The 13,782-nt window shown below is 38.8% G+C and overlaps 1 protein-coding gene across 14 annotated transcripts in view, besides 1 other annotated feature; it reads left to right on the top strand.

Annotated features, from left to right (window-relative positions):
• The window catches only part of TRPM3 (transient receptor potential cation channel subfamily M member 3), a 917,912-nt gene that overhangs the window by 317,059 nt on the left and 587,071 nt on the right, over positions 1-13,782 (top strand). For 10 of the 14 annotated variants that reach the window (NM_001366150.2, NM_001366151.2, NM_001007471.4 and 7 more), the window contains exon 1: positions 8,292-8,735. The exons of the other annotated variants lie outside the window; for them this stretch is intronic. In NM_001366150.2, the coding sequence (NP_001353079.1) occupies positions 8,559-8,735 (177 nt within the window). In that variant the 5' untranslated portion in view covers positions 8,292-8,558. Of the gene's footprint in view, positions 1-8,291; positions 8,736-13,782 lie in introns of those variants that run through there. 14 annotated transcript variants of the gene reach the window in all.
• Positions 8,647-9,484: an enhancer, noted in NCBI's record as "OCT4-NANOG-H3K27ac-H3K4me1 hESC enhancer chr9:73735345-73736182 (GRCh37/hg19 assembly coordinates)". NCBI's record gives its function as "activates a minimal SCP1, AML or CMV promoter by ChIP-STARR-seq in primed H9 embryonic stem cells {active_cell/tissue: H9 hESC(primed)}" and the evidence as "EXISTENCE:reporter gene assay evidence [ECO:0000049][PMID:30033119]".

Below are 13,782 nucleotides of genomic sequence, written 5' to 3'. Positions count from 1 at the left end.
GGCCAGCCAGATGTAACTAGAAGGTAGGGAAAGGGATATGGAAGTCAGCCGTGCAAATAAAAGAAACCCAGAGCTTCTGGAAGAACCACTGCTTCTTCTGTGCTTTGCAGGATTCTGGTGTTAGGTTAGATAAGTTAGGGTCATTGGGTTGTTTTTCCTTTTTTCAGATTTGTCAGAGCAAATACCAGCTTCTTTTTGGGAAGCCGCAGGAACCCTATATAAATATTTTTATTTAATTGGCAGCAGCATATTGTAATGGGTAAAAGCATGGGTTATAGAATAAGATAGACCTGAATTCAAGTCCGTTTACCACCCACGTGACCTTCTGCAGGTTTCTTAACCAGTCTGAGGCTATTTCCTCATCTGTAATACTGGGATAACAATACTGTAGACTTTACAGGTTTGTTATGATAACTAAATGAGCTACGTGCTTAACACTGTTTAGCACGTAGTAAGTGCTTGAAAAAAGTTATTAATCATCATTTTAATATTATCACATAGCCACTATCTATTTTAAAAATAAGGACTCATAAAAGTTAAATGAATTGCCCAGTGACTTAATGTGGATTCAAATCTGTTTCTCCCTGATTTCAAAATCCATGTAGTTTGCATTTATTTTATGCCTCATCAGGAGAAAAACAAAACAAAAACTGGACCATTGTCTCTCATAAAGTAAAATCATTTAATCCCTCCCATTACTATTAATGTTAATAAAAATAAAATGAAAGGCTCCTGGTTGTCAAAAATATGATACCAGAATAAATATCAACAATGTTGCATTTTTTGGAAGGCTGTCAAAAATAGATAGCAAGTACGGTTTTCATTAGCTTTCTTTATTAAAATTCTCTACCAAGCAGAGTTACTGCTTTGAGGATCTTCCAGATCACAGTATGTCTCTGTTTCCCAGGTGAGCGGACCTTATGGTCCAACCCAGGGCTGGCCACTAGTGTGAGAAGCCCAGATGCACAAGGCAGGGTGTGTAGCTTGGGCAGGCCCTCAGCTTTCATTGGTGTGAGTCAGAAGGTGCTTGAGAAGGTATATGTGAGGTTTGAGCTTGAACTTGTGTTTGATTTGGGTATCCATTGGCCAAGAAATCTGACTTCAGCTGCACTGTTAATAGTGAATGCTGAGCTCCCTCCAATTCATGCAAGTTATTCAAGCAGTAATTGGAGATTCACTGCTTAAATGTCTCCTCCTAAAATATATTAATTCGTAAGTTATTTATCAAGTTGGTCAAATTTATGGCTTTCATAATGAAAATGTATCTAAAATACCTACATTCTGTGTGTGGGTGTGTATTTGTGCTTACATGTGTGTATGTGTTGCGGATATTTAAACTTAGTTTAGAAAGAGAACATTTACAATAATGAATAGCATTGCAAATATTAGAAGAGTGAATATTAAGTGATCAGAAATGCACATCTCAAATTCTTATATTTTTAACAAGCCTCCGGGAACTCATTAGAATTTTTGAATTATACTAAAACCCCATCCCCTTTGTGAATGGAAATTTTAGGGTTTCAAGGCTGAATAAAGTTGTATTTTAGCTCTAGGCCTTTGAATATCTGTTATACATTTTTTGGTAGGTGTATATGTAGGATTTCTATTTTTGGTAAGGTGGAAGCTGCTTATATACCTTTGTCTTTTCCAAAGTGAGACCTTTTATATATTAAAGTTTTACACCCCATTATTGGAATATATGATTCCCTCTCATAACCACTATCTATTTTAAAAGTAAGGACTCATGGGACTGCAGAGGAAAGCAGTAAGGAGAGTCAGAGGTGGGTCTCTTCTCATGTGTTCTCTGTAGCTTCTTCTCTTACTGGAAGAAACAAAGGAGGAGATGAAGGTGTTTTGTTTTGCTTTGCTTTTCCTAGATCACTAGCTGTGGGAAGGGTGGCACATATGACTCCAATATTGGTAGTAATAAGTTGCTAATATTTTTCTAGCTCTTAGCATGTGTGGGAACTTCTTCTAAGGTTTCTGCCCATATTGGCTTATTAATTTCACATTATCCCTTTGACAAAGGTAATATTATTATCCCCAGTTTGCAGATGAAGGCACTAAAGCATGATAAGATTAAATAACTTCCCCAAAGTGACATGTAAATGGTAAAGCTTGGGTTTACCTTCAGGCCATTCGGTCTATGGCCTGTGCGCTTATGGACTATGCTACATACACTGCCAGTGGTATCCGTGAACAAGATAACAACACTATTACTAACAACAATAAAAGTAATTGAATTTAAATATGTTTTTCTCTATGTTAGCACTGTGCTAATTGCTTTAACCTTCACAAAAACCTGGAGGTGGAAACTATTGTAGACCCCATTCTTACAATGTGGAAACTAAGCCTCTGAGAAGTTGTATCACTGCCCCCAGGCCACATAGTGGGTAAGAGGAGGCACTTAGGTTTGGATAGAGTCTGCCTGACTTCCAAAGTTACAGATAAAGATAGGGAAGATGAAACACAGACAGTCCAGTCCCTCCTCATTTCTTGAAACAAGCATGAGCTTTCCATTAGCCCGTCACTACCCGCCACCACCTCTGTTAGAAGTCAGGGTGAAAAAGAGTAAATTACTCACATCAGTTCAGGGGTGTGTGTGTGTGTGTGTGTGTGTTTTGGTCAGCTATTACTTAAAATCTATGTTGAGTATTCTAATTAATTTAGGAAACAATGTTTAAAAAGAAGCTAAATTATTAGTGAGTTTCCCCTCAAAGCTTCCTAAAGGACCTTTATGAGAAGTAATTCAAGAGATTCCAGAGGATTAAGAGACTACTATATTTAAAGTACCCCTATAACATAATATTGAATATAATCCTAAAGAGAGTTTTTGTTTTTGTTTTTTCCTAAAAACTCTATGCCATCACGTGAAGAATGATTAATGGCCCAAGATCCCCCATGTAAAGAAGAGGAAGTGTGAGTGGAGCTTGTTAAGTATCCTTATACATTTGGAAAACTATGCTCTGGGAGAAAAACTTGACTTGGAAGTTAGAGGGAAGGACATTTCACCTCAGTCTTAGGTAGAATTTTCTGTCAACCAGAACTGTACAATCATGGAATGGGCTGTCTGAAAAACTCACCCACTCTCTGTCACCACAGGCATTTGTGCAGAGGGTGGACAGCAGTCAGAGATGCTGTCCCAATAATGGAGGGAAAATGAATAGATAACAATTGTAGTTATGAGATATTTTTATTTTATATGGAATAAATGCTGCTTAACCTACTTAACAAAGTGAGTCATGTATTTTAATAAATTTTAGTGTATTTTAGAATCTATTATCTACAAAAGATGGCAAAAGGGGAAATATACCTTAAGAAAGGAAAAAAGTTAATCTGTTTGAAAACATATATTTGGAAATACATTAAGGATTGTCCTGTAGGTAAATGGAATCTATAAAGAGATCTAATATTTTGGAAAATACAGTATAAGCATCAAAAAATGCCTAAAAATGTTATAGCTCTATTGGAGTAAAGTTAAAAGGAAGAACCAGGAAAGTATGTTTTTTGACAAAAATGATAAATTGCCATAAAGTTCATGAGACAAATGATTTTTTGAAAAAAATAGTGGTTCTCGGTCTTTGAGGAAGCGCCACATTGTCTTCCACAATGATTGAACTAATTTACATTCCCACCAACAGTGTAAAAGCGTTCCTGTTTCTCCACAGCCTCGCCAGCATCTGTTGTTTCTTGACTTTTTGATAATTGTCATTCTGACTGTTGTGAGATGGTATCTCATTGTGGTTTTGATCTGCATTTTTCTATTTATCACTATTCAGTGATGTTGAGCTTTTTTCCATATGTTTGTTGGCTGCATAAATGTCTTCCTTTGAGAAGTGTCCGTTCATGTCCTTTGCCCCCTTTCTAATGGGGTTGTTTGCTTTTTTCTTATAAATTTGCTTAAGTTCCTTGTAGATTCTGGATATTAGACCTCTGTCAGATGGATAGATTGCAAAAATTTTCTCCCATTCTGTAGGTTGTCTGTTCACTCTGATGATAGTTTCTTTTGCTGTGCAAAAGCTCTTTAGTTTAATTAGATCCCGTTTGTCAATTTTTGCTTTTGTTGCAATTGCTTTTGACATGTTCGTCATGAAATCTTAGCCTGTGCCTATGTCCTAAATGGTATTGTCTAGATTATCTTCTAGGGTTGTTATAGTTTTGGGTTTTACATTTAAGTATTTAATCTACCACAATCCCATTAGTGGTATGTATCCCCCAAAATATAAATCATTCTATTTTAAAGATAATGTACACCTATGTTCATTGCAGCACTACTCACAATAGCAAAGACATGGAATCAACCCAAATGCACATCAATGATGGACTAGATAAAGAAAATGTGCTACATATACACCATGGAATACTATGCAGCCATAAAAAGAATGAGATTATGTCCTTTGCAGTGACATGGATGGAGCTGGAAACCATTATCCTCAGCGAACTGACACAGGAACAGAGAACCAAACACCGTTATGTTCCCATTTATAAGTGGGAGCTAAACAATGAGAACACATGGACACAGGGAGGGTAACAACACATACGGGGGCCTGTTGCAGGAGGAGAGCATTAGGATAAATAGCTAATGCATGTGGGGCTTAATACCTAGGTGATGGGCTGACAGTGCAGAAAACCACCATGGCACACATTTACCTGTGTAACAAACCTGCACATCCTGCACGTGTATACTGGAACTTAAAGTAAAATAAAATATTTAAAAAAGAAAATTCAAAGCACAACAAAATTAATAAAAGAGGCCAATCATTAAGCAAGCAAGACGTTAATATTAAGACTACAAAACACTGAAGCAAACGAAAGTGTCTACAAAGGCTCACCACTGGGCTTGTTCCTGGTTTTTCCCCTGGTTGCTTAAATATCATCCTTCTGCACTAGGTGCACTACATCCATATATTAGAGCCTGAAAATATATGTACAATTGATGTCCAGATACCTATGAATTTTAATGTTGTAATAATAAACTCTGAAAAATTACATTGCAACACTGTTATTTTAGTGTTGTTTGCAGAAAACACATTTCAGAGGGAGGCTTTTGAGTTCTCTGTACTACCTGGTCACTGTGTCATTTCCTTTTTGTTTTCTTAGGTTTTCATGGGTCAGCTCCTTTTACATCCAAAAGATATAAAGAAGACAGGGTGCAAAGTGGTACAATACTATATTGAGGGTGCTATGACTTTTGAAGAGAAGGAACGTGGTCTTCAAAAGAAAGAATTCAGAAGGGCTATACAATGGCCGCCTTGTCAGTATTGAGAATGAGCTCAAATTTCATCATGATTCTTTGGTTTCGTATCATTTACACAGAAAATAAAAAGGGAAGATAATCAGTGGAAAGTGGGCTTTTCTGTAGCACGGGAGAGAATTAGAGTTGGCTCAAAGGCAGGCTTTGGAATACAGAAATCTGATATGCCCTGCTTGCTATTTTTTAGGATACTGAAAGCTAGTATGATTATTTCAGAGTTTTAAGCCTGCTAGAATTTGTTCTGCAGATATGTAGACATCTACATTCATAAGATTTATAAGTAAGCACTTTGAATTTGTGAGATGCTAATATCTGGGGCTGGGCTTGCTCCTCTCTGCTTTTTTTTTTTTTTCTCATTAGACCTCTCTCTAAAACTGGGGAAGGCATCTTCTATGTGAAAATATAATTTCTTGAAAGTAGAGAGAAGGGTCTTGAAAACCCTTCTTTAGATGTTTTGATAGCAAACAATTCTGGCACAAAGCGTCCCCAGTGATGGAAGAAAAACTGCCTCTCATGCACTGTCATCCTTCTTTGATCTTTTACCTCTTTTGCAGTGTAATCTCCAAATCAATTCCCTGAAGGTTTTGTGCTTTTCTCCTCTAATTGCCATTAGAGAGGGCTGTGAATCCTCCTACTTCCTCACTCTGCATAGTTTCTAACAGTTCTCTTTGACCAAAGTTATTCAGTAAAATTAAAGGGGATAGGATCAAAGGCCATGTGTTTTCAGAATGATGCTGTCATTTTTGTGGGGTCCTTAGCATTTTGAAATACTGCAGGGCAGGGGGTAGGCAATTGCAGTTTTTCAGCATTTTCATGGAGCAGAGATCTCACCACCTCAACAGAACCACTTAAGGGCGTTCATTTAAAAGCTTAGAAAGGCTGGAGCCTTCCCCACTAAAGGCAGCATCTCGCAACTGGATGAATACCACACTGCATGAGGAAAACCACGCTGCCCTTGCAGTCTCCCACCTTCCTCTTTACCCCATTTATTAAACTCATAGTAACTCACAAGAAGCATTCAGTTTTAATTTGTCTTGCTTGACTTCATTACCTACTACCATATGTATGCATGCTTAATGAAAATTGTCAGTGGGCTTCCAGCTCAGAATCAGCACATGCTACCCAGAAGATGGATCATGGTACAGGTATTTAGTATATGCCAGGCACTGTTCTAAGTGCTTTGCCAATATTAGCTTATTTAGTCCTCACAACAACCATAGGCATAAGGGTTTATTTTAATCTCCATTGTACGGATAAGGACTCCAAGACACAAAGAAGGTACGTAAATCTCCCAAGACTAGCTTCAAAATTGGAATTTGAACCATGCAGCTTGATTCCAGAATTCATGCTGTTAACTAATACATCAACATCAGACCAAAGTAATAATCTGAAAGAAATGCTGAGCGTTTCTTCTTTAAAGTCTTTAACTCTTATGTAAGATTAAATTACCAAAAAACAGAGGCAGTGGTTTTATTCCTGAAGTCCCTTTTGAAAGAAATAGGAGACAAGAGAAAGCTTGTCTTTACAGCCTAGTAGACTGGTTTCAATCCAGATTCCAGTTATACTAGTATGTTAGACTTGTTACTAATTTCTCTGGACCTCACTTGCTTAATCTGTGAGATAAGAAAATGACCATAACACCTACTCCATAAGGTTGACATGGGCATAAACCTATGCAATGCATTGTGCTAGGTGATACATGTGAGCCGTTATTATTTTAATACTGCCTTCAATCCTTTGTGGAAATAGAATAGTAACAGAAAATGAATCAGCTGTGTATGAGATCTATTAAAGTGATATTGTTTGGTAGATAATCAGAGACATAAATTTTACTATACGAGGTAGGTCAATGGTCTGCCTTCCACCCGTGGACTAGTTTTCTGCAATATCTTTCTTAAATTTTTGACACAAGACCATTGTGAGTGAAATGGTGTTGTAGCGCAGTGTGTCAGGTATTGATTTCATGCTGGGGTGGGCCTGTGTTGTCCCGGTTCTGAATTACAGCAGTGTATCACATCTGCTTGCACCACTCCCAGTTCAGCTCTGACTGCATAATAGTCATGGAGCTGGGATTTACCAATCTCTTCAAGTTAATTAGAAATGGAAAATCAGCATGGTCACAGAGGAAAAAATAAATAAGATGGCGATGCTCCAAGGATGTGGGGATTCTCCCCATAGGAGTTGTCAGGTCAACTGCTCCCACTGAGGTCCGATGCCTGGGGGTACATGGGAGCCGAAGGGGGGTTGTGTCAGGAACTCCCTTCTCATCTCACCGTCCCAACTTACTATGTGAAATTATCCAATTTCTACCTTCAAATTGAAAAACTGTCCTTTAATTCTCTCTCTCACCACAGGAGTCCTAAAGACTATACATTCCAACTCAGCAACTATTTCATACAGCCTCCTTAGAAAATGATGGGGGTGGACACCCCACTTGAGGAAAATCCATTCTTTATAGACAGCATCCCATGTGGCACTTTATGGGTTAAACTTGTGTTGCAGAGAAGCGGTATCAAGTGGCTTTCCAGGAGATAACCCCCATTTAAAAACTGCCATCTCTAAAAGGTGAGCCAAATGCCCATGAGTTTAAACTGCTTTGTATGAAAGGAACAACCCAGTGTGTTTGAGTTTGCTTCTGTCTCAGTGTCTGTCATCTATGCAACCGATTATCAGGATGAAGACTGTCAATCACGGTTAATAAAAACCTCAGAACACGACACAGATCTCTTTTACTATAGATGTATTTGATGATAGCCTCACTTTATTATGTCACATAAATCAAAAGGGAAGCATTTATCTCATCATTCGGAGGCACCCCTTCTCTCCCTGTGTCCTCACCCCTCCCCCCGTACCAGTTCTCAGTCCCTCAAAGATGCTTTGTGCAAGAAAGTGCAAGTTTCCCGTTCTGGCTTCATTTTTGTTCCCTTTTGCGATCCTCCTGGCTCCCCCCCAAACCAAGCTAGCAAAGCAATGGCCCCGGTTCCCCCCCAACGCCTGACCTGCGTTTACTGGGAGGAGAGCGGGAGAGGGAGCGCGCATTCTGGAGCAGGCTGCTTTGACTCCGACCACAGGCTGTTTTGTGCAGGCTGTCCCTCTTCTTCAAAATCGTGCATCCCCTCCCCGAAGCAGCAGGCAGTGTGCCTCCATTCAGCCACATTTGGTATGCATGAGCACGGCTGCAGAGAGAGGGGAGGTGGCTGTTTTAAGAAGGTTCAGGGGCTCAGGCAAGGCTACTTGACTAGTCTTCCAAGTTCCAGGAAGCCTCTGCCCTAATGGAATTTGCAGGTGTGGAGATGACCATGGGATGCCAGAGCCGTGGGGGACCGTTTATTTTCTAGGCATTGCTCAGGTTTTCAGTTTCTTGTTTTCCTGGTGGAATTTGGAAGGGGTCATGAATCAGGCTGATGCTCCTCGACCCCTAAACTGGACCATCCGGAAGCTGTGCCACGCAGCCTTTCTTCCATCTGTCAGACTTCTGAAGGTACTGTAACTTGCAGCTTTGAATGGCGCTAATTGTGCTTTTTAGATTTAAATACCCAACTTGGGGACTTGGGCTGGGACGCACCTTTGGGGGAGCCTAAATGCATGCAGTACTGGCTCTGTGGTCCGTGGCTGGAGAGAGGTTCTCAGTACTCCTGCCCTCCCCCCACGCCCCCCACCCACACCCCGTGGTGTCAGAGACAAGAGGCTGGTGCGAACCACACTCGAGAAGGAGATTTTGGTCTCAGAGAATGGGCTACCTGGTGCTCCCCCACCCCTTTTAACCATTCCTAAAACAGAATTAATTAACTTCTTTGGGAGGGTGGGAATAGTAGTGGGAGTGAAATCTCTTACTCCCTTGTGTTTGGCTCCTGGGCTTTTCTTTCTCTCTCCCTGGGGAAGCCCTTCGACCCACTTTCCCTTTAAATGGAACCAGAGAGAACAAAGGATTCTCCTCATTAGTTTAAAAGCTTTGTGTAGTTAGGTGGCCAGTCAGGTGAAGATGAACAAAGAATGAGCCTCCTCAGACAGTGACTTTTTTTGTGTCCTTGTTTTTAGAAAAGGCATAAAAATGTGAGTCTCCTGAGTGGAATCAGTAGTGGGAAAGTATTGTTAAACATATATTGAATGTCAGCTCTCTCTCTAGCTGTGAGTCACACAAAAGAATGGCACTACACCTGAGCAGGAATTGCCACCGTGTGTCTGCAGCGCTTCTCTTTCCAGAAGCAAATGCATTAAAGATACTGAAAAAGTCCATACAACTCTGTACTAATCCACCTTCATGATCTTTCTTGTAGGGGGGAAAACACAAATTAGATTTAAAGGTGCAGGAAACAAGCATTTTTGCCCAGTAAATAGAAGGTGGTAATACTTAATAGGGAAAAATAAATATCTCTGATGTTCTATATCCATTCGAAGTTAAAAAAGGCAAAGTTCTTAATTCTCTTTTCCTGAGTATGTATGCTCTTTTGATTTAGTGACCACAGAGCATTGAGTCCAGTGGGCTACAATGGAGAATTAATGAATTAGCCCTGAATACGTTACACTTGGAGAATTTTGTTCTGAGGATGTGTTCTGGTTAGGTAAGATTTGATGGGGACAGTTAGTTCCATACAGCTAAGTGGTGCCTCACAACAGAGTATTACCCCTTGCCTGAGTTTTCCTTTTCTTGTTAAACACCAACTGGTATTAACTTTCAACAAAGGCTGCCCCAAGTGCTGTTCAAACTCCCATCATATGGTTGTCATGGCGATGGCTTGCTTCCCTAGGGACTATTTAGGAGGAAAGGCAGGTTTGGGTATGGGTAGTAGAAGAGACTTTTCCTTGGATATGTGTGTTTTTGCTGTGTTGTAACAACATGTGTGATAGGGCAAGAAAAAGAATGAGGCCAGAGAATTAACAAATTGGTGTACATTTTCTCCAGAATCACTAGTGAATCAAGAGTCAGGGGCAAAGAATGGGCATATCTAAGTCTCCCTGAAAGAATTCAACTCCAGTAATTCGAAGTGCAATGAGAAACATTTTTTCAGTTAAAGTCATGTATCAGCTTTAACCCAAAATAATGCTTTTTAACTCTTCTTGACAGATAGGTGACTATCACTCTCCATATATGATTAATTAATATGCTAGTTTTTTTTTAAATGGAGAATGTTATTCATTTACTAGTCACAAAACCAGCAGAGAAGTACCTACCTGAGGTACTTCTTTTAGAAGAAGCTCTGTCTTTTTAGGAGAGTGAGTTCTGTCATCTTTTTTAACTGAAAGTGCTGTCCATACTTTCAGGAGACATTGTTAATGCTACAGCCATACTTTCATTGGCATACAGCTCAATCTTACCATCCTTTATTAAAGTGATGCTTTGTAATAATTTATTGAATAAAGTGCATTACTGTGTGTCCTTCCCATTTTTTCAATATCTAAAAGACAGGATGGAACCTTACTGGAGAACTTTTTTCCCAAATGACATCTGTATTTTTGAAAGATCATAGCTATCTTCTGAGACTTCAGATATTGAGCACATTTCAAACTCTTAAAAAAATAAAGTCATACCAAGTTCTTTCAGCAATACTTAGAAAGAAAGCAAAGCTGCTTTGGTATATGAGCAATTGTATTGTCCACTCTCTGGCTGTGAATGCTATGTATTTTTTTCCTATGGATTGTTGTATGTTTCTCCTATGGATTCCTGTGTTTGCTTTGCTAGTTCCTATGTATTCTTGCCATTTTATCTTTTGAGTAAAATGTAAGTTCATGAATAATAATTTGCATGTTTTGGTAAATGCTCTTCCTGGCTTAATCTAGAAATGAAATATTTAATAACAGTATTTCTTATGTCCTTTCCTTTCTTTCTCCTCCCTCCCTTCCTCCCCCTTCTCTCTCTTGTTCCACCTCCCTCCATACTACCACCACTATGTTAATTTGATGAATGGATTCTCTAGGAATCCAGTAGATTATTGAAATCTTAAGGTAACAAAGCCAATTCTCCTATTCAACAGGTAGTGCTTATTCCTCTTCCAAGCATTGTTCTAATATGACCTGCCCTCTCTCAGTGCCCCTACCTGTCAGTAAATGCAGTGTAGGTCCTGATGGCTTGATTAGATTTAGCTAAACTCTGATCAGTCACCATTTCTGACAGACTGGACTCAAGCCAATTTCCCTTTCTATCCTTTTCCTTGAAAATGTGTGTATCTTTGCTAACTTCCTTTGGTATCACGTTAATATTTAGAAATGGCTTCATAATCCTATTTCCTTATTTTCCATTTCCTAATAGAAACAGGATACAAAAGAATTAGAAGGGGAAGGCCGATATCTGAAGTATGAATTAAACCCAATGAGTGTTGGAATGTACTTATTATTCCTCCTGAAAGCATCTCATTTGTTGTTTTGTCCATCTCAGAGCAATTTTTGAACATGCCAACACACTCACATTTTGAATTTGGGGTTGCATTTGGAAATAAAACTTGGAAATGAATTTCTGGACAGGCACACAATGATGATAGCCAAAAGACAGAGCCTGTTTTCAAATGGGTAAATTTCAAATGGGACCCTTTCTACATCATTTCTCTTCTGTTGTCGTTTGCTTTATTCTTATGTGTTTCAAGATTGCATCTTACTATTAATCACAAAAAAAGTCAAGTTTATTTCAGTGACAGAATGTTCTTAGCATATTTCATATTCATTATCAGGTCTATCTTTGCCATTGTTTTATTTGGAAGATTTTATTTTGGTAACATGTTGAATTCGAAGATTATTTTTAGGGCAGAGAGCTTTCTGTGTATTGAAGTCTTGGCGAACTTACTGAAGGGAAGGCTTCTGAAAAATGGGTTGCATTGGGAGAAGGGGACACTGTATTTGTGACAGATTTTGGAAAGATATTTAAGTCAGTGTGTTAATGAAGACCAAATGATTAGTATCATTTTTAAGACTTTCAAATTTTTATATTGAGAAATCATATGAGTTTGCTCACTTTAAGCAATGTCAGAAATAGAATAAAGAAATTATATTCTGGAAAAGTCAGCCTGGACACTGGGTCCTAATTCCACTGTGTTCCTAACCAGCTGTGTGACCTTGGGCAAATTACTTAATCTTTCTGTAACTTGATGTCTTCTTTAAAATGAAGGGTTTGGGTCTTGACTGGATTTAGATCTAGTGTCCGAAGCCTGCTATGCAACTTGGGCATTGAAGAACGTTGTCTATTTGGACTGAAAGAATTGAATATTAAAATGGAAGAAGGAAACGGGTAAACAACAGTGTTTAAATCATATTAGGTTGGTGCAAAAGGTTTTTAATGGCAAAAACCACGATTACATTTTCACCCACCTAATAGAAGGCCTTGTCTGCTAAGCTACAGCATTTGACCATTATCTTGAAACTAGGGGGGAGGGAGAGGCAATTAAAAGAATTTTTGCAGCGAGGTGATCACCAGATTTAGGTATTGTATAGTTGCTTTGGCTGTAGTGTCTAAAATGGGTGAGATGATGCAACTGGAAGCTGAAAGATTAGATTAGAGGCCTGGGGAATTGATGAGAACCTGGCTAAGGCAAAAGTAATGAAGGTAAAATAAACAGGGCCTTGCTAAATGGACTAGTTGTGGTGGAGAGAGGAATCTAGGATAACTTCTGAGTTTCTATCTTTGCTGTAGGGTTGGCTGGTGGTCCCAGCATCTAAGAATTAAGATCCTGAGAAGGAAGTTCCTCTTTCCCGGGCTAGAAAGGGTATTTCAGTTATTGTCTCTAGTAGGACTGACAAAAGTAAAGAATATTATTCCTTATCTCACTCATCTCATTAATGAGGATGAGCCCCATGGAGTGTCCGATAGCAGAATTCTTTGAAGCAAATACTATTCAGTCAGTAATGTCACTGTATTTTTGTTATATACCCTGCCTTCTGATAAAACTATGTAGAGTTTTACATAGTAAATTCCCTTTTTAATTTTTTTTTTGGGGGGAATCTAGTCAAAAGCCCAAACTCTTATTTTTTATCCTTTCTCTTTGTGATACAGAAGTATTACCTAAAGTAGGTAACACAAGGGAATTAACTGAAGGAGCAATGATCAGGTTGGGTTATCAGATCAGCACAAATTCTGCCCAAGTGCTAATGTTTTACACTTCTATAATTCCATATAATGATAACCAATGTTCTTTCTATTGTCTCTGAAGCAAAGTAAGATCCAAATAACCAAATGTATTTGGTCTGTCTTCTATAGTTGATTTCAGGCATTCCAGGAACTGATTTCCCTCTGGTGTTCTCAAACTCTTCAAGGAATAATTATGTTGAAATTTGTTTCAATTGTGTTTTAAATTTATGATGTTCAAGTTGTCCCATTCACATCTAAAATTCTGAATCTTTACAAAGGAGGTAGAATGATGTCAGTAAACCAGAAACTTTGCTTAGCCTGGACAGGGTACTCAGCCACATCCTAGGGAGCAACAGTTAAATTTCCACCACAAGAGAGGAAATGCACACCTATTATGTCTAGGTGAATATATCAGTGAATCCTGGCAAGCAAGGCCAGGATATTTGTAATGGACTAATTCCATGAAGTGACTTGA

The sequence above is a fragment of the Homo sapiens genome, chromosome 9 (assembly GCF_000001405.40).
Source record: "Homo sapiens chromosome 9, GRCh38.p14 Primary Assembly".
Lineage (NCBI taxonomy): Eukaryota > Metazoa > Chordata > Mammalia > Primates > Hominidae > Homo > Homo sapiens.
This window is presented reverse-complemented; position numbering and strand designations above follow the sequence as displayed.